The sequence below is a fragment of the Homo sapiens genome, chromosome 15 (assembly GCF_000001405.40).
Source record: "Homo sapiens chromosome 15, GRCh38.p14 Primary Assembly".
NCBI lineage: Eukaryota > Metazoa > Chordata > Mammalia > Primates > Hominidae > Homo > Homo sapiens.
In genome coordinates this window covers 39,742,292-39,768,404 of record NC_000015.10, presented here as the reverse complement: position 1 = coordinate 39,768,404, position 26,113 = coordinate 39,742,292, and the positions used below count along the sequence as shown (strand labels likewise).

General features: G+C 36.5%; 1 protein-coding gene across 8 annotated transcripts in view; it reads left to right on the top strand.

Annotated features, from left to right (window-relative positions):
* FSIP1 (fibrous sheath interacting protein 1) overlaps window positions 1-26,113 on the top strand; it is a 185,402-nt gene that overhangs the window by 14,437 nt on the left and 144,852 nt on the right. For 6 of the 8 annotated variants that reach the window (XM_011521305.4, NM_001324338.2, NM_152597.5 and 3 more), the window contains exons 4-5: window positions 2,659-2,813; window positions 4,491-4,584. In XM_011521305.4, coding sequence (XP_011519607.1) covers window positions 2,659-2,813; window positions 4,491-4,584 — 249 coding nt within the window. Of the gene's footprint in view, window positions 1-2,658; window positions 2,814-4,490; window positions 4,585-7,413; window positions 8,754-20,970; window positions 21,104-26,113 lie in introns of those variants that run through there. The other 2 variants (XM_011521311.4, XM_017021972.3) reach the window with 2 other exon arrangements.

Below are 26,113 nucleotides of genomic sequence, written 5' to 3'. Positions count from 1 at the left end.
GATTTCTAATATGTTCATTATCAATAGCTATAACTCACATAAGAAAAGTTAAACTATTTTTAAGGCCGTAAAGGGGAGCTGAGAAAAAGTTTGAGAGCTGTGATTTAGAGTATGTTTGGGATGAGATCAACTCTCACTGTTAGGTCAGGTGACTCAGGATTATGGTTTTCAGGAAACAAAGTGGAATGGGAGATTTCCCTTATCGCCCTTGAAGGACGTGTGACAAGGGTACGGCTCACTTCTTCAGTGCTTCCCTGCTCAAACCCCTAGAGGGGGCAGGCAGATGAGCAGGTGCAGAGGCCATGGGGAGTGCTTTTGGGCTCTGATCCCATGGCAGTGTCTAAGGGTGAGTGTTTACAACTCCCAAATCCCAAGTGGGAGTGTTCCAGTGTGCTCTTTCAGCTTTGCCGTCTGCTGGCGGCTTGTGTTAATCAGCTCAATGAGACCCTCTGCCTTATGACAAGGGCAGAGGGCTTTCTGTATCCTGGGTTCTTGCCCTGGTATACCAGAAGAATCGAATCACATGTTGGCTTGGAGGATGAGTGCAAGGTTTTATTGAGTGGTAGAGGTAGCTCTCAGTGAGATGGATGGGGAGCTGGAACGGGGATGGAGTGGGAAGGTGGTCTTCCCCTGGAGTCAGGCTGCCCAGTGGCTGAACTGTCCTCTGACTGCCTCTGGCTGAACTCACCTTCGCATCTGCATCGTTCCGTAGTCACTGGTTTGCCAGTGTCTGCTGGTGTGTTCCTCTGCTCCTCTCAACGTCCAGCCACTTGTGTCTTGTACGCTTAAGGTCTCGGGTTTATATGGGCACAGGATGGGGGCATGGCAGGCCAGACTGGGCTTGGAAAATGCAACATTTGGGCATGAAAATAGGAGTGCCTGTTCTCACTTAGGTCCATGGGCACAGGCCCAAGGGTGGAGCCCTCGCCAGGGACTCTACCTTTCTCTACCCAGCACTTCCCTGTCCCCTTCCTGTCTCAAAGATATTATAATTGAAATTAGCTGCTGACACAGTTTACATTGGATTTGTTTATATTGTTTTAGTACTGCATGAGTTACTTCAAAATGCCCGCTATATAGACTACCTATGTTCACGGAGCCTGAGAATGCTAGGATTGGCAGTTGGGAATGAGAACTAGAAGGTGTTGCTTTTGAAGTACATAAGCAATAAGATTCAAGGAACCTCCTTATTAATAATATCCTTTTTGGATAAGTTGCTTTCCTCTTTCTTTTTTTCCTCTAAGAGGAAATGATGGAATTGAGAGCAGTAGCTCACACCTGTAATCCCAGCATTTGGGAGGCCCAGGCAGGAGTATCACTTAAGCCCAGGAGTTTAAAACCAGCCTGGGCACCATAGTGAGACCCCCATCTCTACAAAAATTTTTTTAAAAAATTATCCAGGTATGGTGACATGCACCTGTAGTCCTGGCTCTGGCTGTTCAGAAGCTGATGTGGGAGGATTGCTTGAGCCCAGGCGTTCGAGGTTGCAGTGAGCTATGATCATGCCACCACACTTCAGCCTGAGTGACAGAATGAGATCCTGTCTCTTAAAAAAAGAAGAAGAAGAAGAAGTGATGCACATTATAGAGAAACATCACTTAACCCTTTGGGTTTTCAAAAGTTGATAAATTTGGCCTTACTTAGCACAATATGCCACTTCTAATGATCTAATCTGGGGTGGCTGAGACTTACTGTTTGAGCATTCATGCTCATTCATTGCTGGATTATCAGCTTTCATCAGATTTAAATGGAGAGAATATTATCTGTGGCTAAGAGGCTAAGAACTTTGGCTCTGCAGTCAGACAGATTTGGGTGGAACCTGACTGGCATTTACCAGTTATATGACCTTGGACATACGTGTAACTCAGTTAAAAATTAGCTTCAGTTTACTAATTTGTAAAATGAGAACAGTGATTATACCACCTCAGAGGGTTAATATGAGCATTAAATGATATAAAGTTTAAAAATAAAGCACTTAAAACTGTGCCTATCAGGTAACTCTATAAATGTTAGTTATTATTATCGTTAATCATAAGTTAATGACAGAAGTTCTAAAGAGTCCTTAATTTCAAATAAGTGACTATCAATTGTACTTTAAGAAATTAGAACAAAAGAAGCAGCATAGAAAAAAGATACAAGCTACATAGAGTACTTGTTTTGAGTTTTTTTCTTTCTATATGTTGCAACCACTTTGTGTCACTGAAGACTTACGGCTTTCTACTGTAGCCATTTGTGTACACGCCTTCTCTTTCAGTTAGTCTGAAGCAGCTTTAGGACAGGATTCTTGTCTTATTCCTTATTTCCTATTTTTTAGTCATGAACATAGAAAGTATAACAGAATGAAGGAGAAAGAATTTGGGATTTAAAATCACGAGGATCACTTCTGAGTCCAGTGCTATAATTTGTTACATATTTGAAAGGACCCAGTTATCTCAACTGTAAAATAGAGATAAATGTCTGTTTCATAGGGTTGTTAGATAATTATATAGACAAACACATGTGAAAGCACCTTGTAAATTGAGATACATGGTACCAATGTAGTAGTTATTACTATCAGCTATAAATATTTGTTGAATGAAAGAACAAATTGTAAGAACAAAACAAAACTTTATAGTTTTACTATACTTCAAACCTATTTTTACTTTCAACACAATATAGATGAACCCAAATTAAAAGAATTAGATTCTCAACTTCAAGATGCTATTCAGAAGATGAAAAAACTTGATAAAATATTGGCAAAGAAACAACGCAGAGAAAAAGAAATTAAGAAGCAAGGTCTAGAAATGAGAATAAAGCTGTGGGAAGAAATTAAGGTAAGAATTATCTAACCTTATGCTGACATGTAAGAAATAAATTCTCCTGGCTGGGCATGGTGGCTCACACCTGTAATCCCAGCACTTAGGGAGGCTGAGGCAGGAGGATTGCTTGAGGCCAGGAGTTTGAGACCAGCCTGGACAACATAAAGAGACCCCATCTGTACAAAAAAAACCTAAAAAATTAGCCAGGCATGGTAGTACGTGCTTGTTGCCCTAGCTACTTGGGAGGCTGAGGTGGGAGGATCCCTTGAGCCCAGGAGTTCAATGCTATGCAGTAGCTATGATCATGTCACTGCACTCCAGCCTGGCTGACAGAGCAAGACACTCAAAAAAAAAAAAAAAAAAAAGAAAGAATTTCCTCTAAGATGAGTAAGAAAATCATGGACCATGGTGTTACTGTGGCCTGCCTTGATTGCTTTATTTTGTGGAGGTAGTGGCAGTGGTATGTATATGTGTGTATATGAAGGAGTCATGGGGTGATATTTTTCTGGAACCTGAGAAGAAAACTTGGTCTGCAACATTCAGATTTCAAGCACTGCGCTGGCGTGTTCATCTCCCCAGGGACAGGCCCAGGGTACCATGTCTCTTACCAGCAGCAGGCTGGTAAAGTGCTGGGCCCCTCCATCTCTGGAATAGGAAGGGGTGTAATAGCTGCTTTCATCAAGTATGTATATCTGCTTTTTCTTCAGCAGCCTTATAGTTTGGAGATAAATAGACACAGTTTAACCCTCTGGTTAGCTTTATTATTTGGGTAAACCTTTGTGACAAACAAGTTTTGGGGAGTTGACTGTTTCCTGTGCTGGTCAAGATCTTTGGGAAGCTGTGAAGTGCTTGAGGTCTGGGACCATACTTCATTTGCTTCTGTCTCAACAAATTCCTGGTGCTCAATGAACTTTCCTTGGCCTTCTTGGACCTCTTATTCTCTATAATATTGAGGGCTTGAAGTTGACTAGATGTTGGCATTGACTTGGTATATAGCCATTGGCTCATATTTCAATTTTGACCCTCAAAGGAAAGCACCTTTAAGGTAAGGAACCTTGTCATAAGAGATTGGTTATTTTTGATAAAGTCCTCCTTGAACAGTTGACTGACTTCTGGGAAAGTTTCCTAGGCAATAATGTGAATTAAAAATGTAGTAATTAAAAATACATTTTTATGAGGTTCCCAGGAAGTCCACTGGGATGGAAAGAAAGAAACATCCAAAATGCAATGCTTTAAACTGGAGAAATCGTTTCTGGAAATTTTAGCAGAAAAAGTTAGCCTATCACTTTTTCCTACTGAATCTCAAGCAAGTTTTTATTTCCTTTGAAGCAAGAATTATAAATGGAAACATAATAAAACATAGTAACAATGTTGAAATGTCTGAAATTTTTAAATTTTATGGTGTATCTTTAGGTTACTCACAGATTATAAAAATATCAAGCAGAAACTTATGATACTTTAAGCAAAGTAATTATCATATAATGATAGGCATATACTCTGACTCTATCTGGGAATACCCATTGACAGAATTTTGTGAGAACAGAGGAGATTTACAGATTTCCTCAAAAAAAAAAATAGCCTGAGACTTCTCGTTTGTACGTATGTGATTGGGAGCCGTGTTGGAGTTTAAAAAATCAATGATTATAGTTGCCTTCTTTTCCCATGTTTAAATTTTAATTTTCCTTTCATTAGTCTGCAAAATATAGTGAAGCTTGGCAAAGTAAAGAGGAGATGGAAAATACAAAAAAATTTTTATCTTTGACTGCTGTTTCTGAAGAAACTGTTGGTGAGTAGATGGAGATGTCATTCAACTTTGTTTTTATCTGAGTCATGGAATATTTGGATTAAAGTAAAATTCCCAATCCAGTTTTTCTGTCCTGTTCTTTGTGAGTTTGACTGTTCTTTAGGGAAATAATTGATCACATTAGGTAGGATTATATGAAACTACTCCGAGCTTAGGTATGTTTTGGTGTCTTTAAGTGTTTGTGTCTGCTTGATGGTAAGGGGGACAGGGCAGGGACAAACTGGGAAATAGACAAAAGTATGTCATTGCCTTTACTTCCTTGTCTCTTTTAGGTGTCTTTAGACCCCACTTTCTGCATACAATTCCCTAACTGCTTATGAGCCTGTGGAACTCCTTTTGTTAAAATCTATGACCGATTTGTCCTATTTCCTGGTCTCTCACAGTCCTATATTTTTGAGATGAGCCAATTCTGCATATTTATTTCTGCCTTTCTCCTTTGTTTGTATGTATATTTGTGAATCTTCCTTTTTGAAAACAGAAATATTATGGAGTCATGTAACCTTTAACCCATTTATATGATGGTGAAAATTTTAGGGATTAGAAACATTTTGTATTTTTGTATATTCTAGTTGAAACATCAAAAAATACTAGTCTGGCCTATATTAAATTCATAGATCATTTACTTTTTGCATCTTCTGTTTCGTTACGGAGGTAACACATGTATAATCTATATAAGAAAATATTGGTTAAACAAAAAAAATTACTATCAGCTAAATTCTCAACTTGTAGAGATAACCACTATTAATATTTTAGTTTACTCTTTATCTTTTGAGATGTGTTTAATGCAAATATCCATGTATATATTTTGAGAATAAAAATATGATCAAATTATATATGTATATGGTATTTTGTAACCTTTCCCCCACTAATTTGTATTTCACGAGCACCTTTACCTGTCAATAATAGATGTGTGTGGTAGTTTGTTTCCAAACGGCTGCCATTAGTTCCTTCCCTTTATTTGTGTTCATTCTCCTCCTCATTTAGAGATGGAGTCCATGTTTCCCTCCCATTTCAGTCTTGGCTATCCTGGAACAACTTTGATTGATATATTACAGCAAAAATGATACTATGCCATTTCCAGGCCTTGTCTTTAAGAAAACAGGCAGTTTCTGCTTCCCTTAGAATGCTCACTCAGAGGAAAGCCAGCCATTATGTAAGAGGTCAGGTTACCCAAGGCTGCCATGCTGTGAGAAACCCAAGCAAGCCATATGAAGGGGCTATGCAGAGAGAAGATGATGGTGGCCAGTTCCTGGCTACAGTGATTTTGGTAATGTCTCTCTCAAATTCATGTCCACTTGGAACATTGGAATGTGTCTTTATTTGGAAACAGGGTCTTTGCAGAGACTTAGTTAAGATGAAGTCTATTGGATTAGGGTGGGCCTTTAAAAAAGAGGAGAGGACACAAAGAGACATAGAGCCACAGGGAAGAAGGCTGTGTGAAGATAGAGGGATGTAGCTACAAGCCAAGGAATGCAAGGATTGCTGTAAGCCAAAAGAAGCTAGGAAGACCCAAGGAATCATTCGGAAGGAATGCTCTGCTGACACCTTGATTTCAGATATCTCTTGATTTCAGATATCTTGTAGAACTGTAGAGAATAAATTTCCGTTGTTTTCAGCCACCCAGCCTGTGATAAATTGTTATAGCAGCCCTAGGAAACCGATACACTGACTGTTCAACAGTTTCAATGCAGACACTGAATAAAAGAGCAAGCTTGGACATTTCAGCTCCACTAAACACAATGCAGAGAATAACCAAGACTAGACATACGGCCCCCTGACCTGCTCCAGGCATCTCCAGCCAAAGGGAGCTACCCAGCCATCTGAGGCCCCATTCATAGTGGAGCAGAGATAAATTGTTCCTGCTGTGTCCCTCAAATTCCTGGCCCACAGAAGCATGAGCATAATAAAGTGTTCACTGTTTTATGCCATTAACTTAAAAATTTTTATTGTAAATTGACAATTTATATTTATGGGGTACAAAATGATATTATGATTTATGAATACAATATAGAATAATTAAATCAAGCTAATTCGCCTATCCATCACCTCAAATACTTAACATCTTTTATGGTGAGACCATTTGAAATTTAGCCTCTTAGCAATTTTGAAATGTACAATACATCCTTATTGATGATATTCACCACACCGTGCAATAGATCTCAAAGAAAAACCCTTATTCTTCCTGTCTAACTGAGACTTTGTACCCTTTGGCCATTATTTTCTCATTTTCCCATCCTCCAGCTTCTGGTAACCACCATTCCACTCTGCTTCTATGAGTACAATTGTTTTGGATTCCACATATAAATGGGAACATGTAGTATTTGTCTTTTTGTGTCTGGTTTATTTTGCTTGGCATAATGTCCTCTAATTCTATTCATGTTGTTGCAAATGATAGAATTTCCTTCTTTTTAAAGACTGAAAAGTACTCCATGGTGTCTATACAACACATTTTCTTTATCCATTCATCTGTTGGTGGATACTTAGGTTATTCCATAACTTGGCTATTGTGAGTAGTGCTGCAGTGAGCATGGGAGAGCAGACATCTCGTTGACAAACGAATTCCAAAGCTTTTGGGTAAATGCCCAGAGGTGGGATTTCTGGATCATATGGTAATTCTATTTTTAGTTTTTTGAGGATCCTCCATACACTTTTCCATAATGGCTGTAGTAATTTACATTCCCACCAACAGATTGCAAGGGTTTCCTTTAATCCACATCCTCACCAACAATTTATCTTTTGTGTTTTTGGTGAGAGCCATTCTGACAGGAGTGAGATGATAGTTCATTGTGGTTAATTTGTATTTCCTGAATGATTAGTGAGGTTGAACATTTTCTGCATATTTGTTGTATGCCATTAAGTTTTATTTTTTACTTTTTATTTTGAAATAATTTTAAATTTATGGAAAACTTGCATAAGTAGTACAGAATTCCATATACCCTTCCCCCCTGCTTCTCCTAATCTTACATAACCATAGTGATCAAAACTCAGAAATCAACATTGGTATAATACCATTAATTAAAGTATAGACTTTCTTAAAAATTTACCAGTTTTCCCACTAATGTCCTTTTTATTTACTAGTATCCAATCCAAGATCCCATGTTACATTTCGTTGTCATGTCTCCTTAATCTCCTCCAATCTGTGATAGTTCCTCAGTCTTTCCTTGTCTGTCGTGATGTTGACCCTTTGGGAGAGTATTGGTCAGCTATTTTGTAAAATGTCCTTCAGTTTTGGTTTATGTGATGTTTTCTCATGATTAGATGAAAGTTATGAATTTTGGCAAGCATACTCTGGAAGTTATGTGCCCTTCTCAGTCAATCACACTTGGTATACCTAATGCTGTTATATATTATTATTGGTAATGTTTCACCTTGATCACTTTGTTAAGATGGTGTCTGCTGGTTTTCTGCACTGTAAAATTACTATTTTTTTCTTTTACAATTAATACATATCTTGGGGGAGATGCTTTAAGACTATGCAAATATCCTGTTTCTTCTCCAGCTTTCACCTACTAATTTCAGCATCAATCAGTAGATCTTGCCTGCAATAATTTTTACCATATGCCACTAGATTTGGGTGATTTTGTAATCCAACAATAGATAACTGGAACAATGTGCATCAGCATTATTTTTAATGATTATATATTAATTCATTAGATGGATGTGCCATCATTTGTTTAACTAATACCCTTCTATTGAACATTTAGATTATTCCCTTAGTTTTTCAATTTTTTAAATTACACATGTTGCAGTGACATCCTTAGTCAATTATTGCAATGATTACCTTCTGTGGTTGGCTGAAAAAAATCCACCCCAATCCCCCAAGAGATATCTATGTCAAATCCCTAGAGCCTGTGAATGTTACCTTATTTGGAAAAAGGGTCTTTGCAGATGTGATTAAGTCCTGGAATATTGAGATGGGCCCTAAATTCCATCATAGGTAGCCTTATCAGAAAGAGATGGAGGGAGAAGAGGTAGATAAGGAAGAGGAAAAGGTGCTGCAAAGACGGAGGCAGAGATTGGAGTGATGCAGCCTCAAGCCTGCTGGCAACCATCAGAAGCTGGAAGAGGGAGGAACAGAAATTCCTCTAGAACCTCTGGAGGGAACGTGGCCCTGCTGACATCTTGATTCTGGATTTCTGGCCTCCAGAACTGTGAGAGAATAACTTCTGTTGTTTGAAGCCACCAAGTTTGTGGTAATTTGTTAGGGCCGCTATAGAAAATGGGTATACTTTCAAATACATTCCTAGAAGAGAAATACTTAGTCCAGGGTTGGACTTTCACAAGATTTTTATTCACATTGACTTATTGAAATCAATTTAGACTCTTACCCACATTGTATCTGAATATTATTTTTCTATGCCAACGATGGATTTTGTAGTTATTTTTAAGCTTTGTTTATTTAAAGTGGAATCACAATAATTTGTATTTCTCTGATTATCAGGGAGGTTATAGATTTATTCTTTGGTTTAGCTAAGTTGTGAGTTACCTACTCATGTCTTAGTCTCTTTTATAAAGTGAGGTATTCTTTATTGATTTGAAAGACTTTTTTAATATTAAGGATATTAATTATTTGTCACAAACACCATAAGCATTTTTCTAACTTTTTTTTTAATTTTGTGACATTTCTTGCTCTAGTTAGTCATTTCTTTTATGTTATCATTCATTGGTACTCTGCTTTAAAAGGCCTTTTATGTCTCAAGATTGTATAAAAAATATATATTTTCCTTTCATCAGTTATAATTTAATGAAAAAATTTAAATATTAACCCACTTGAGATTTATTTTGGTATTAGATATGAGTTAGAGAGTTGATTTTGTTTTTTTCCCCCAATTTGCTAACCAGCTATTCCAAGACCCTTTATTGGATAATCTGTCATTTCCCCACTTATTTGAAATGCTAGCTTTATCGTGTAGGAACTGGGTTTATTTTCAGATTTTCTATTTTATTCCATTAAAATTTCTGTCTGTGCTGATGTTAATACCACTCTATTTTGATTATTGTGTCTTTGTAATATATTTTATTGGGGCAGTATTTTGGAATAACATGGTTTTCTCAAACCTATTTTTTTTCTGAGTTTAGCAATGACTACATTATTTTTTAAAAAAGAGATTGTAAAAGCACCTCTAAAGCTATAGCTTATGAACTGCTTTTTTATTTATTTAAATGTCTAAAGACCAGTATATGAACGTAGTCTGCTTGGAAAAGTACAACTTACTAATATATTTCATTCAATGTTTATCAGTAATTCTATACCTTCATAGAAATGAGACTATACCCCTTATTCCCCCCCCTCAAAAAAATCCATGGACAGTGTCAGGAATGAGATTCTGGATATTATAGTATCTCAATGTCTATAGTTTGGAAACCAGGAGTCAAATACTGATTTTTCTAGTGGGTAGGGCTTTTCTGAAAGACCAAACCTGCTTGTGGTTGACTCTGGAGCAAGCAATGTAAGACAGGCCACTCTGTAAGTGGATCTATGGTGGCCTTTTAACATTAAGCTTTTCGGTCACAGAGTTCACTACCCAGTGAACTTTTGGTCCTGGAAGGCAAGACATTTGTTTTCAGTTGCCCTTTTTTCAAAACCAAATCAAAACTGTCAAATATGTTTAATTTTTAAAGCTCCTGGCCCGTATATTTGACTTAAATCTATGCTCACATTGTATTTCTGGAGTTATGTGACTGCTGTAGGCCCTGTAGACACTTCCCATAATGTTAGATTAGTCCTGATGTTCTAACATGGAAATTAAGTGGACTTAATGATATGAAAGCTGGAGCTGCAAGGGGCTTGAAAGCTATGTTAAGAGAGAATCATTGTTTTAAACATGATGACATTATTAAAGCTTCAATTTTTAGATTCAGACTTCTTAGTTATTATGTATTGGCAGTGTGTGCAAAGCAGGTAAGATGCAAAAGTAGGGTCAACGTAAAAGGAAAAGGGAATACAAGATACTGTTAGGTGAACCAGATGTCTGTTGCACTTCACTCTTGCTACTGACTGTCTTAATTAGTTCACACTTGACCAGTTCACCAAAATGAAGAGGTAACATTATTGTATTACTGGCTTCTTCAGATTTAATTAGAATCTTTTTTTGATGATTGTTCTTTTACAGAAAAGCCAAATTCCTTAATGAAATTTCCTGCTTGCTGTTTACTTCATAGACATATGTTTTGGAGTCATTTATTGCCACACATATCTGTTTTTTTTAAATTCTTAAAAACAAAAAAGTAGTTAGCATTTACTTTAGGCTGCATTATTAACCTAATTATATTAATTTGTTTTTTGGACTACATAACTATTACCTTATTCTAAAAGAGGAAACTTTTGGAATAATCAGCTTAAACTTGGTATTATTAGCAGAATATTTTCACTGCAAGTATGAAAGAAATAATTAGAAACACAACAGTCCAGTTTGACCTCATGCCACGGATTTTTTGAAAGTCTCATATTCCTGGTATTTCAACATAAGCACTATCATAAGGTGGTACGAAGCTACTTTCATCTGTTCTACAATGAAATGAATTTCCCATTACTCATTAGATCTCAGCTACTGTTTTAATTAGAAATGTATAAAAATTTAAAAATTATTTTAATCAATCATATATAGCCATACATTTCTAAATAAGATATTTTTATAAGTATTATTAGGAAAACAGGAAAATTTTGCCTTTTTTTCCTGTATAATTTTTTGTTGCCAGCACAGTTTCAGGCACTTGTAAATTGTCCAGTAGGTGGCAGCATCTAGTTACAATAAGTACTTTAAAAAGCCTTAAAGCATTTAAAAAAATTTTAAAGCTCCTGGCATACATTTTTGGCTTAAACCTATAGAGTTCACATTGTATTTCTGGAGTCATGTGACTGCTCTACACCCTGCAGACACTTCTTGTAATGTTAGATTAGTCCTGATGTTCTAACATGGAAATTCAGTGGACTTAATGATGTGAAAGCTGGAGCTGCAAGGGACTTGAAAGCTATATTCAGAGAGAATCATTTTAAGCATGATCACGTTATTAAAGCCAGACCTATTTCAGCATACCTATCAATATACCCAAACCTACTTTCTTTCTTTTCATTTTTTGTCTTTAAACAAAGGGAGAAATTCTTAGGATGGATATTTTTCTTTTCTAGTCAGTTTTTCTTATCCTCTTATTTAAGAGTTAGCTTCAGGTTGGGTGGGTGGTTCATGCATGTAATCCCAGCGCTTTGGGAAGTGGAGTCAGGAGGATTGCCTGAAGCCAGGAGTTCGAGACCAACCTGGGCTACTTAGCAAGACCTTGTCTATACAAAATATTTAAAAATTAGCCAAGCATCAGGAGGCTGAGGTGGGAGGATTGCTTGAGTCCACGAGTTTGAGACTGCAGTCATGCCATTGCTCTGCAGCATTTGTGACTGTGTGAAACCCTATCTCCAAAACACAAACAAACAAACAAAAAATTAACCTTAAGGACTTTGGGCTGATGGCTGAATGGCAATTTCCAACCTGTTTTCAGCTTCCAAAACACAGAACCCATCCCAGTTGGCTTATAACATCACAAATAAGCAACAGCAAATAAATGAAGAAAATAACTGTGGTTGGATAGTGCATTTACTTTTATTTATAGGTGCTAAACACAAAAGATGCCTTGACTCCAAGAGAAAGTTGAAAACAACATTAAATTGATTTATATCACATTTGAACCTTATAATCCAGACATATTAACCTCAAGTTTACTGGGATTTTGAAGTAAACAATATTGTACTTGCTAGAGATCTCTGAAGTATTTTAAAAGTCTGTCCCATCCCATTACTGAGGGGTCACTTTTGGGTTTTTTTAGAGGCATGTTGCAAAAATCAAAACTCTTTTACATCGCCAGGAGTTTTCCCTTAGTTTCTATCATTTATCTAATGAATACAGGTAGAATTCAATATTCTTTGAGACAAATACATCTAGTGACAGGGTTGCTTTTTGATAGAGGTTATTCTTTTTGTCTTTGTCACGTTTCTCTCTTGTGTTTCTAGCTCCAAATATAGAAATGCATATAAACACAAAACATCAACATCATAACCAATTAGGCTTTTTCAAATTTGAGAATACTTTTTTCTAGGTGCCTTTTCTGTGAGACTCAGATATATGATACTTCTGCTCTTGGATGCTTGGGTTAAATACTCAAAGAAAATCTGGTAGTCTCTTTCTACTCTGATATGCAGAGGGTAGAGGGAGGAAATCACATAACTGTGCTGACTGACACAGGCAAGGATTTTGGTTTTTAATTTCTGTTGGAGTCTCAGCATTGTTTAGCAATCTCTTGCATTCTCCAAAATGGTGATTCCAAACTATTACTATGTGCTTCATCTCCCATCTTCTGCAAGACCTTCACTGTCTTGGTTGGTCTTCCTTTCCAGAGAAAATGAATCTACAGGGTAGGAATTCCTTTTACATTCATTTCTTCTGTTTCTAAGCTTCATCCTGACTGTGTTCATTCATCCTCTGCCTCTTGCCTCTAACTTTAGATGGAGGGAAGGTACTCTTATTCTCTGAGGCCAAAATCAGTAACATCCCATCCCTTTCACTGTGTTCCTGGCTGTTGGTTTGTTCGTCATTCCATTTTTTCATCTAGAGCTTCAATCTCTCTGGCTCTTTCCCTTTAACTTACCATGTTTAACTCTTCTAGTCCTAAAACAGAATCAAAAAGCCATTGAACCAATGAATAACCAACAGAACATACAAATAAGCCTTTTTCCTCATTTTTTTTTTTAATCTTACTCTAAAACAGACACCACTCAGTTTCCCTCTTCTCCTTAAAGGTCAGACTTCTTGAAAGAATAGTCCACATCTCTTGGTGCTACCTGGTCAACTTCCATTTACTTCTTAACTTTTCAGTGTCTGTATTTTCTACTGTCACGCTGTGGAAGCTGCTTCATAAGTGGTCCTCCTAAATTTGAAATCTAATGGCATACCTCCAGTTTTGATTGTACTTGACATCACTGTAGAATCTGACACAGTGACCTCTCATAGCATAGTGCAATTTTTACTGGATTTGTTATTCCCTGCTGGTTTTCTTCTTTTTCTTTCCTTCTTCCTCCTATTGTTGAAACTTATTCCTTCTTTTATATGTTTTCTCTGCTTTAGTTAATGGTTTCATCACCCACCTAGTCTCCTAAACTAGAAATTGAAGAGCCAGCCTCAGTTCCTCTGTTATTGTTCTTTTACACTTCTTCCTTGAGTTCCCCAAATGAGTATTTGTTCTGCCCTATCTGTATCTGACCTGTTTTTTTTTTATCCCCATTATTAAATGGTTTGGTCTCAGCATTTCTCTATCAGATTATTCAAACAGTTTTCAGTCTCGCCTCCATGGTGTCATTATTTTCCTGCAAGATCATTGTACTGGTTATCTAGTGCTGTGTAACAAATTACCCCTAAAACATGGCAACCTAAGCCAACAAACATTTATAATCTCACAGTTTCTGTGGGCCAGGAATCTGGGAGTATCTTAGCTGGGTGGTTCCGACTCAAGATCCCTCCTGTCAAATGGTTGCCGGGGCTACAGTCATTTGAAAGCTTTATTGGAGTTGGAGAATCGGCTTCCAAGCTCACTCACATGGTTGTTTGCAGACCTCAGTTTCTTGCTGCCTTTGGGTTGGAGACCTTAATTTCTTACTACGCAAACCCCTCCATAGGATGCGTGTATGTCCTCACAACATGGTAGCTGACTTCTAGAGCACTTAGTAAGTGCTCAACAAATTGAGTTATTATTAGTAATCCTGTGATTACTAGACGTTACTGCATCAACAGGAACATGGTTTGTGTCTCTTATATTATCATTTATATGTCAAAGAATTTCTTCAGGTTTCATACATCTGTTAGCTATGCATAGGTCTTATATATCTTTTTATTGTTATTACCCTGATTGGTGTTTAGCCCATCATATTTATAAAGGGTTATTAATGACATAGACGAAAGTTAGTGACTTTTTAGACATTTATAATTTGTTTTCTATTTGTACATTTAACTAAATTATCTTATTAATTTTAATTATTTTTACTTGTTTACCTTTTTTTTAGTTTATGAACACATAACCAGGAAATAATGTTAATTTTTGTGTCCTTTTTAACAATTATTCCTATGCTGAGAGCTGTAAGAACTTAGTGTTGAAATTTATTGAATGCATTTCAATATATATTTAAATTATCATAAATTTTTATTTCATGTCCAACATATTTAATGTTTTAAAATTAATGGATTTAAATACCAAATGAGTCTTTTATTCCTGGGCCAACCCTTCTTGGTTATGGAAGATTATTCTTTTAATTTAGTACCAGATTTAAATGAATGAATTTATTCAGATTTTTTGCATCTATATTTATAAGCAAGGTTAGTTGTGTTTGTGTGTGCACACACAGGTGTGTGAAATGTTTGTTATGGTATAGGGGGTGAAGTTGAGGGTGGAGAGTCGATGTATGTGTGTTTGCTTTGTCAGGCTGTGTGAACTTCATAAAATGAATGGGGATGGCTGCTCACTTATTTCTATGATTTGAAACAGTTTATATAACACAGGGATTATCTGTTCCCTTCAAATTTGAAAGATTTCACTGGAAAAACCATCTGGTTCAAATAATTTCTTGGAGGCACTTCTCTGACTCTTTTCTCAGCTGCCTTCATATTTGCTATTCTATTTCAGGTTACTAGCTATTCTGGAGTCAATTTTGGCAATGCATCCATGTCACTAAGATTTTAAAGTATCCACTTCATGAAGATTTAAAAATTTACTAACATGCAATCTCAGATAGTCTTTTAAATAATAATTCTTTTTCATATTGTTTGTACATCCTCTTTATCTCTAATTTTGTTAATGTTTTCTCAATCTTTTTAACCTGGAAGTTTTTTCTAAACTTTTTATTTGGGCACAGTTTTACATTCATAGAAAAATTATGAATATGGTACAGAGATTTCCCCTATACCCACCCCCAGTTTCCCTTATTATGAATATCTTGCATTTGTATGGTTCATTTGTTTCAACTAGTGAACCAATATTGATATATTCAGGTTTCCTTAACTTTTACTTAATGTCCGTTTTTTGTTCCAGAATCCCATCCAGGATGCCACATTCCATTTAACCCTCATGCCTCCTCAGTCTACTCTTGGCTATGACACTTTCTCAGACTTTTTTTATTTTTAATGACCTTGACAGTTTTGAGGAGTACTGGTCAGGTATTTTGTAGAATGTCCAAGAGTTGGAATTTATCTCATGCTTTTCTCATGATTAGACTGAGAGTATGTGTTTTTGGGAGGAAAACCATGGAGTTACAGGGTCATTTTCATTACATTACATCATATTATTAACATAACATTGCTATTAATGTTAACTCTGTTCACCTGGCTGAGGAAATATTTGTAAGATTTTTCCACTGTAAGTTACCATATTTCCCCATCCTTTGCCACACTCTACTCTTTGGAAAGAGATTGCTATTTGCAGCCCCTGCTTAAGGAGTGGTGCTGGGAAAACTTGCTAACCATAGGAAGAGAGATAAAACTGGATCTCTAACTTACCATGTACAGAAATCAACTCAAGATGGACTAAGGATTTAAATATATAAAAATTCTAGAAGAAAACCTAGGAAATACTCTTCTGGTTATTGGCCTAGGCAAAGATTTTATGACTAAATTCTCAAAAACAATAGCAACAAAAACAAAAATTGACAATGGGAACCTCATTAAACTAAATATACTAATCGTTATTTAGAAAATGATGATGACTTTCTTTTCTTCTCCAGAATTTTGTACAAGTCCTATATTTTAAAAATGAATATTGAGTCTCATAATATTGTGGTCATGGTTTTGATATTCTTAAAAATAAATTTTATTGTGTATATTTAAGGTATTACAACATGATATGAGATACATATATCTATAAATATATATGGTAAAATGGTTACTATAGTGAAACAAATTAACATATCAGTCACCTCACATAGTTACCCATTTCCTCTCCCCAAACCCCCATCATGGGAAGAGCAGCTATAATCTCATTTAGCAAAAATCCTGAATGTAATACACTATTATCAATTATAGTCCTTGAGTTGTACATTAGATCTTTAAACTTGTTAGTCCTACATATCTGCTATTTTTTATCCTTTGACCTACATTTTCCCATTTCCTCCCAGTGTTCTCTCCCCAGGTAATCATTGTTTTATTCCCTTTCTCTGTAAATTTGACTTTTTTTTTTGGATTCCACATATAAGTGAGATCATGATCATGCGGTATTTTTCTTTCTGTGTCTGGCTTATTTCACATAGTATTATGTCCTCCAAGTCTACCCATGTTGTGGCAAAAGGCAGGTTCTCCTTTTTTAAGGCTGAGTAATATTCCTGTGTGTGTGTGTGTGTGTGTGTGTGTGTGTGTGTGTTTATGTATTACAGTTGCTTTATCCATTCATCTGCCAATGGACACTTGGTTTGTTTCCATATCTTGGCTATTATGAATAATGGAGCAATAAACATGGGAGTGCAGATGTCTTTATGAGGTGGTGATTTCATTTTCTTTGCGTTTATACCCAGAAGAGGAATTGCTGAGTCATATGGTAATTCTTCCTATTTTTAATTTCTTTAGAAACCTTCATATTGGTTTCCATAATGGCTCCACCAATCTGTATTCCCTCAAACAGTATACAAGGGTTCCCTTTTCTCCACACCCTCACCAATAGTTGTTATCTCCTGTCTTTTTGATAATAGCTTTCCTAACAAGTTGTTATCTCACAGTAGGGTTGATTTACATTTCCCTGATGATTAGTGATGTTGAGCACCTTTTCATATTGTTGGTCATTTTTATGTTTTCTTTGAAAAAATATCTATTTACTTTGCCCATTTTTAATCAGGCTATGTTTTCTTGCTATTGAGTTGTATGAGTTCTTTATAAATTTTGAATATTAACACCTTATCAGATATATGATTTGCAAATGTTTTTCCCAATCTGTAGGTTTTTTTCTTTTATTGATTGTTTCCTTTGCTAGGCAGAACCTTCTTAGTTTGTTGTAGTCTCATTTATTTATTTTTGCTTTTGTATTCTGAACTTTTGGTGTGATACCCAAGAAATAATTGCCCAGGGTGATATTAAGGCACTTTCCCTCTATGATTTCTTCTAGGAGTTTTGTAGTTTCAGATTTTATGTTTTGGTCTTTTATTCACTTTGAGTTGATTTTTGTGTATGAGGTAAGATAAGAGTGTAATTTCATTCCTTTGGATGTGGAATTCCAGTTTTCCCAGCACCATTTATTGAAGAGACTACCTTTTCCCCATTGTGTCTTCTTGGGCCCTTGTTAAAACTTAGTTGACTGTATATGTTTGGATTTATTTTTGGGATTTGTATTTTGTTCTGCTGGTCTGTGTGTCTGTTTTTATGCCAGTATTATACTGTTTTGATTACATTAGTAATACTAATTTGATCACCTTTCTGTGTGATGCCTTCAACTTTAGTTTTTCTTTTTCAGAATTGCTTTGGCCATTTGGGGTCTTTTGTGGTTCCATATGAAGTTTAGGACTTCTATTGCTGTGAAAAATATTATTGGGATTTTGATAGTGGTTGCTTTGGGTAGTGTGGACATTATCACAATATTGAATCCTTTGATCCATGAGCACGGAGTATCTTTCCATTTATTTGTGTCCTCTTGAATCTCTTTCACCAATGTTTTATAGTTTTTAGTGTCCAGGTCTTTTACCTCCTTGGTTTAATTTATTCCTGAGTACTTTATTTGATTTTTTTGATGCTATCATAAATGAGATTGTTTTCTTGATTTTTTTAGGCTAGGTTGTTTGTGTATAGAAATGCCACAGATTTTCATATGTTGATTTTGTACTCTACAACTTTTCTGAATTTATTTATTACTTCTAATAGTTTTTTTCTGGTGGAATCTGTGAGGTTTTCTACATACAAAATCATGTCATCTGCAAGTAGAGATAATTTTACTTCTTCCTTTCTGATTTGGATGCCTATTATTTCTTTTCCTTGTCAGATTGCTCTTGCTGGTCCTTCCAGTACTGTGTTGAATAGAAGTGATGAGAGTGGGCATCCCTACCTTGTACTAGATCTCAGAGGAAAAGCTTTCCGTTTTTCCCCCTTGGTTATGATGTTAACTGTGAACTTTTTATAAATGGCCTTCAGGAAATTTTCTTCTATACCTAAACTCTTGAGAGTTTTTATCAAGAAAGGATGTTGAACTTTGTCAAATGCTTTTTCTGCATCAATTGAAATGATCATGTGGTTTTTGTCTTTCAATCTGTTAATGTTATTTATATATCACACTGATTGATTTACATAAGTTAAACCACCCTTACCTGCCAGGGATAAATCCCACTTGATCATGATGTGTAGTCTTTTTGATATATTGTTGAATTTGGTTTGGTGTAATATTTTATTAAGGATTTTTACATCAATGTTCATCAGAGATTCCTGGTGTGTAATTTTCTTTTTTGTGTTGGGTCTTTGTGTGGCTCAGGTATCAAGGTGATACTGGCTTCATAAAATATGTTAGAAAGTATCCCCTCTAGCCTGGTTTTTTTTTTTTTGGAAGAGTTTAAGAAGTATTGGTATTAATTCTTCTTGGAGAGTTTGGTGGAATTCAGCCATGAAACCATCTGGTCGTGGGGTTTTCTTTGCGGGGAAGTTTTTAATTACTACTTCAATCTCTGTGTTTATTGTAGATCTGTTCAGGCTTTCTGTTTCTTCCTGATTTAATAGTGGTAGTTTATATTTTTCTAGGAATTTATCCATTTCCTCTAGGTTATCAAATTTTTTGACACATAATTATTCATAATAGTCCCTTTTGATACTTTTTATTTCTTAGGTGTCTGTTGTAATTTCTTTGTTTTCATTTCTGATTCTAGATATTTGAGTCTTCTGTTTTTTTCTTAGTCTAACTTTTGTTGATTTTGATTTTTCAGAAAAACAACTCTTAGCTTTATTGATTTCTCCTTCCCTGTGGCTTTTCTATCCTCTATTTGATTTATTTCTGTTCTGATCTTTATTATTTTCTTCCTTCTGCTAACTAGGTTTAGTTTGTTATTTTTGCAGTTCCTTGAAGCATAATGTCAGGCTACTTATTTGAGATCTTTCTTCTTTTATAATGTAGGCATTTATTGCTGTAAACTTCCCTCTTAGAACTGTTTTTGATATTTTGAATTGGTTGAAATTTTCTTTATAGCTTATTAGAGAGGTTCTCAATTGTAGGAGACATTTGGATGTGTGCATTTTTGGTTGTCATAAGGATGTGCTGCAGGGGAGAATGAGGGAACTACTGGAATTTATGCCACTATGCCAGGGGCCAAGTTTGCTAAAGGTCAGGAATTGCATAAGGAAGCTCCACACGGAGAATTGTTTTGCCTGTAATATGATTAATACCCCCAGGGAAAATTCACCTAATATATGATTAACTTTTATAAGTACTCCGTGGACACTTGAAAAGAAGGACTGTTTCTCTCTGTGGAGAACAAACTTTGAAATGTGCAAAATGTCCTTATTACTTGTCTATTTGATTTGCATTCATCTTAGAGAGTTCTGTTAAGGTCTTTCAGTATAATTGTGCTTTTATTAGTTTCTGAAAACTGATTGGAATCCTTCAATATAGTAGAAAATGCGTATTATTTGTGAAACCAAAAAAGAAGAACTGGAAGAAAGAGTATATTAACATGAAATGACAAGAGGATGATTTAAAAAAGAAGCTGATTAAGATGAGAAAGGATTACAAGGAAAAATAGGAAAAATGCACTTATTGGAGTAATGAGCATAATTAAGACTGCAGGAGAATCAAGGCAGTGAAGGATGCTCCACAACATGAAGGGATAAATAGATGAGGAAATGATGAAGTAAATGATAAGTGTGGAGATAGGGAATAGGAATTCCAGTTAAAAATTATAGAAATTTCTGAGAAAGTAAACTAGTATAACTATTATAGAAACAATGATCACAGGAAATTTTTCTGATTTAAAAAATATTATATATGCACTATTAATGATAAAAGGCCAATACCCATATATACACAGGTAAGATTCTGAACCATGGGAAGGCCCTAAGAAATCTTACAAGCATCCAGGCCCAAATTAGAATAATCTTATTTTACCTATAAAAATGGAAGCTGAGTTCAGATATCTTTCTTGCAATAAAGGAAAAATATAGTAACTAGGGATTACATATTGCTTCTGTTATTGTTTTGTGAAGACAACAGAAAGACATTCTTAGATATGGTAGAGTGGATAATTCACTGCTCATATTGTTTTTGGAATAAATGTACTTGAAACCATACTCTAGGCAACCAGCAGATGAGTCACAATGTACAATCCAGGATTAGAGAAGTTGCTATATAAAGGAATGATCTGTGAGCATTATAACCAGCCAAACACAGAGGTGAACAGAAAGAAATGTATGTTTATAAATCCAAGAATTACTCTATGCTAGAAGATAAGAATAACCATAGGTAGGCCTAAAAGTCCAGATTATATTAACAGAGGCTGAAAAGTGGGAGAAAAGTGAGGGTAAGTAAAACAATTCTAAATTCCTTGTATTACTTTAGAGGAGAGGCAGAAAACCATTTTTTGTTCTTGACTTTCTTAATATAGAAAAAATATGTTTATATAACTTAGACTTCAAATTAAAGTGCAAACTTTCCAAATTGTTGTATAGTTAGGATTATGGTTTATAAAGGAGAAAGGAAAAGAAGACAAGAAAATGAGCATTAAAAGAAAGGAAGAAAGGGAGAGAGGGAGGAAAGAGGAAGGAAGAAAGGAAGAATGGAAGGAGGGAAGGAGGGAAGGAGGGAAGGAGGGAAGGAGGGAAGCCCAAACAGGAAAACCATTAGGGTCTAACAGGAAAATCACTAATGTGTCTAGTGATGTACATGTTAGGTGAGGCAATGAGTGTACTCTTTTGAACTAGCCTGTTAAAAGATACACTCTCACGTTGGTTTTCTTATCATCTCTCCTTATTTCACTCAGTTCCCCCTTCTTCCCCCTTTATTTTTATAATCCCATCCTCTTGTCTTTTTATATTCATCAGTTCTTTCCTGTGACTTACTCCTCTAGTTTCACAAATGTCATATATTTTGATATATTGAGGATGCCAACAAGTTTTTAGAAATTTTATGATTTTTTTATAGTTATTTTCAAAATGTCTGCTGTCCCATTGATTACCAGGATGCTGTTTCATTTGTTTTTCATTTTTTTTCCTTCTGTGTCTTCTTATCCTCCAATGAGGTAAAATCCATCCACACCTGCCATTTACCAACAGAGCAAAAAGGTACATCTGCCTTGAGTCTGCTCATTGTCCATCTGCATGCTTTTAAAATTGTGATCTTCATTGCTGATTTCTGCTTCCTTTCTGTCCAGTTGTTTTCTAAGAGTTGCAGCCTCTGAAGAGATGTAGAAAGAAGTATGACAGCGGTTGAGTAACAGCATTTGAACTGCCTCAAGAAACAGTGTTGTTGCTCAAGGAGATGGGGACTCTGGTTTCTGGTTGTTTTTTTCCTTTTATCTCTGAGTCAAGGGGGTGCTTTCCATCTAGATCTAAGTCTGCCCCTGCGCTGTTTCAGTAGGCAAAGCTTACATGACCACTGATTGCTTTTCTCTTTCCCTTTCTATCATTTGTGTTGGTGGCAATTTTTTCCAGATTCTGGAAATAGAGAACATTAGGTCGTTGAATGAAATTGTTTCATTCAACATCGTGTTTTTTTATTTTTAATTTTTTAAATTTTTATTTTTTAGAGATGTGATCTCATTTTGTTGCCCAGGCTGTAGTGCAGTGGCATGATCACTGCTCGCTGCCACCTCGAATTCCTGGGCTCAAGGGATCCTCCCACCTCAGCCTCCTGAGTAACTGAGATTACAGGTACATGCCACCATGCCCGGCTAATGTTTAAATTTCTGTAGAGATGGGGTCTTGCCATCTTGCCCAGTCTGGCCTTAAACTCCTGAGCTCAAGAGATTCCTCTTGGCCTCCCAAGTGCCAGGATTACAGGTGTGAGCCACGCCAGGCTCTGTCATTTTATTATAACATTGATGAAAAAAAAATGGATTCCCAGCTAGGGCCACTGTCTGTATGGAGTTTGTCTTCCCCCTGTCTGCATGTGTTTTCTCCAGACACTCCAGTTTCCTCTCCATCTCAAAGATATGCATGTTAGGTTATCTACGTGGTTCCACTGTGAGTGAGTGTGGGTGTGTCTGAGGGCACCCTGCCATGGCATCCTGTCCAGGGTGTGTTCCCACCTGGGACTCTGAGCTGCACAGATAGACTCTGGCCACTTGAGACTCTGAATTAGAATAAGCTGATAAATAATTACCTTGCTTATTTTTATTAATTTTTCTGAAATGTACTTATAGCCCACATTTATGTGAGTTTTAATATTACAAGTGTTTTGGTCTTTATTTAGAAGTTTAATAATGTTTTTGTTTCCGGAAATGTGCCACAGAAACTTAATTCTTATTTATATTAATTAGACTATGGTAAAATTGGTTTCCTTATATGTCATTTTGCTTAAAGTCGCAGTTTCCAAGAATCTATAGATGACATTAAGAGAGGATTTACTATACTCGTGTAGGGCATCTAAAAATTGTATGGCATAATTCAGTATTCAGAAATGAGGCTCTTTTTCCCTTTCTGTTTCTTCCTGCCTTTTCTCAGGATGGTGTCTGGGTTCGGGAGGACGCTTGTGTAGCATCATGGCCTGGGGATGGCGGGGTGGGGGGCGGGGTGGCGCGTGAATCTGGTCCTTGCTGTTCTCTCAGAGGCGTATCTTGTCCTGCTTGGTCTGTGGATATGGGAAGCCAGCTGGGGCATCTGCTGACTTGTAGCTGGTCCCATTTAGCCTTTGTCATCTGCCAGCAGATGCTGATGTTGTATGTGGTCCCTGCCACATCCTCTCTGGTGGAAGGCTCTATGCCACCCCCTCATCACGACCCCAGTCTTCTTCACAGGGGCATGTGAGAGCTTCTGTTCTCCTTCAAGCCACAGGCTGGCCAGCTGTGGGGAACTGTGTGTGTGTGTGTGTGTGTGTGTGTGTGTGTGACTGAGGGGGAGAGAGAGAGAGAGAGAGACAGACAGACAGACAGACAGACTACTTCAGCCTCTGTCTCCCTGTAAGCATGCCACACTGCCTTTGCTTGTCTGCAGCTGTCATGGGTGGTTGGAGAGCACCATGTTCCTTTGTGCGGGGTCTCCCCTCAGTTCCAGGTGTACAGTGAGGCAGAGCTCACTCTGCTGTGGGTTTCTCCAGCCTCTTCAGGTTCTCTATGCACCTCCAGGATTTCACCTCCAGGGGCTGTGCCGGGGAGCAGCTTAATACCTGTATCACTTGTGTCTACTCTAAACTCATCCCCTCTGCTGGTCTTCCAGGTCCTCTAGGTCCTTATTTGGGATGGGCTTTAATTTCTTCCATGGGTGGCAGGAAGCAATTTAAATCACATCCTGCAATCTTCCTCTTTCAGGACTCATATTAAAAACTTGCTCAATCATCAATGTTTTGGCTCATGATCTCTAAAGGGAGATTTTTTTTTCCTTCTCACATGAATGTTTGTAGTGAAGAGAGGAATTTTTAAAATTTTCTTATTAACTTTGAATTTTGATCAGATTTAAAGTCATAGGAAAAGTACAAAGGATTCTCAAATACTCTCTATCCAGAGTCTCCAAATGTTAACATTTTACCACATTCTCTTTTCTCTTTCCCTCTCCACACAAGGACACACATATACACACATACATGCACGATTATACATATAAATCAGGAAATGATTATTTTGCAATTATCTATAGGCTTTATTGAGATTTTGCCAATTGTCCCTCTAATATCCTTTATAGCAAAAGAAAAATCTCAGGCTATGCATTACATTATTGTCATACCTTTTAGTCTTGGTGTTTTATGACACAGGCATTTTTGAAGATAGTAGGCCTATTATTTTGTAGCATGTCCTCTAGTTTGGGTTGGTTTGTTTCTGCTCGGTTAGGTTCAGGTTATGAGTTTTTGGCAGGAATCCCACAGAAGTGATAGTGTCCTTCTCAATGAATCAGATCAGGAAGTGCATGACGGTGATTGTCCTGATGCTCACAATGTTAACTCTGGCCACTTTAAATGAAAATGGTGTCTACCAGGTTTCTTCATGGTAAAGTTACTATTTTTCCTTTGGTAATTAATAAATTATCTTGTGGGGAGATAGATACTTTGAGGCTATTATCCTATTATTCCTCAAACTGTCACCCACTAGTTTTATCGTTCATTGGTGATACTTACCTGAGTCAGTTATGATGGTTACTAAATGGTTAATTCCATAATTTCTTCTACGTTAATTGTTTTTGAAAAAGAAGGAAGAATTTTCTAAAGGGAGATGTGGAATTCAGAAAATGTTTTTTTTTTCCTCCAAGGGTTAAGCTCTTGCAATTGAATGCCCAACTTTTAAAACTGTTGTCTTTTAAACTCAAAGCCGATTGATGGCACCTTTGTTGTATGTAGTACACACCTCTCTCTGAGGCAATGAATACCACTGGGAAGATGGGCAAAGAGCCACAGGGTCACAAGAGTAATTTCAAATTCTTCTTACCCACCTGCATGACACTGGTCTCAGATAGTCGCTGATCACCTGTGAGGGTTTTCCATATTGTAAATTTTCATATTTTTGTGTCTTTACAGGTGTTTTAATATAAAATTGAGTAAACTGTTATCATAAAGGAATTATGGGATAGAAAAATATATTACCACTTCAGGACTATGATGTAAATGTAACTTAAACTGATAATAAAATGTTGCCAAATTGCTGACTTGCTGAGCCTACTTTTAATGAATATTGAAGACCCCCTAATAATAGTGGTTGCAACAAAAAACTGAAAGTTCAGAAACAGTTTTAAATCTTTTTGTTTTCTAAGTAGTTTACCCCTCTCTCCCCAGGCTTACACCACAAATTTGCTTGATTAACTCATCAAAGATTGTACAAAGACTAACAGTGTAATGTTAACCACAGTTCATAATTCATTATTATGAATTCCAAATTAGGGAATTGGAATTGATGAATTAGTGTTTGTAGCAGAAGTTTTGTGTTTTGAATTAGGTGAATGTGTGTTGAGGGTGAATGTATCTTCTGCCTGCTTCCTTTGTCTGTATCAGCTCATAGAGGGTGTCTGAACTTGGTTTGCTTTCTGGGAGAGGTGGTGGATCCTGTAATATCCTCAAGACTTCCCATATTTTCTGAGGCAAAACCATTTCTGTGCTGCAACCTGGCAGATTCCCTCACATTAGGGTACAGAGACACACTTTTAATAAAACGTTTATGTTAACGGCGTCTTGCAAATATACAGTGTCCGAATTAGCTAATAGGAGAACATAAAAATAAACTACACTGAAACAAAGTTAAGTTGAAAAACACAATGTCCTATCTATCTTCTTTATGGAGGTGCCAAGAAAATACATCAGAAAAGAAGAAAGTTAACTGCTAAGAGTCTCCCAAGTTCTCTCTCACATTCCTTTATCTTAATGACTGATCGCATATTTGAAGTCTCCACCTTGG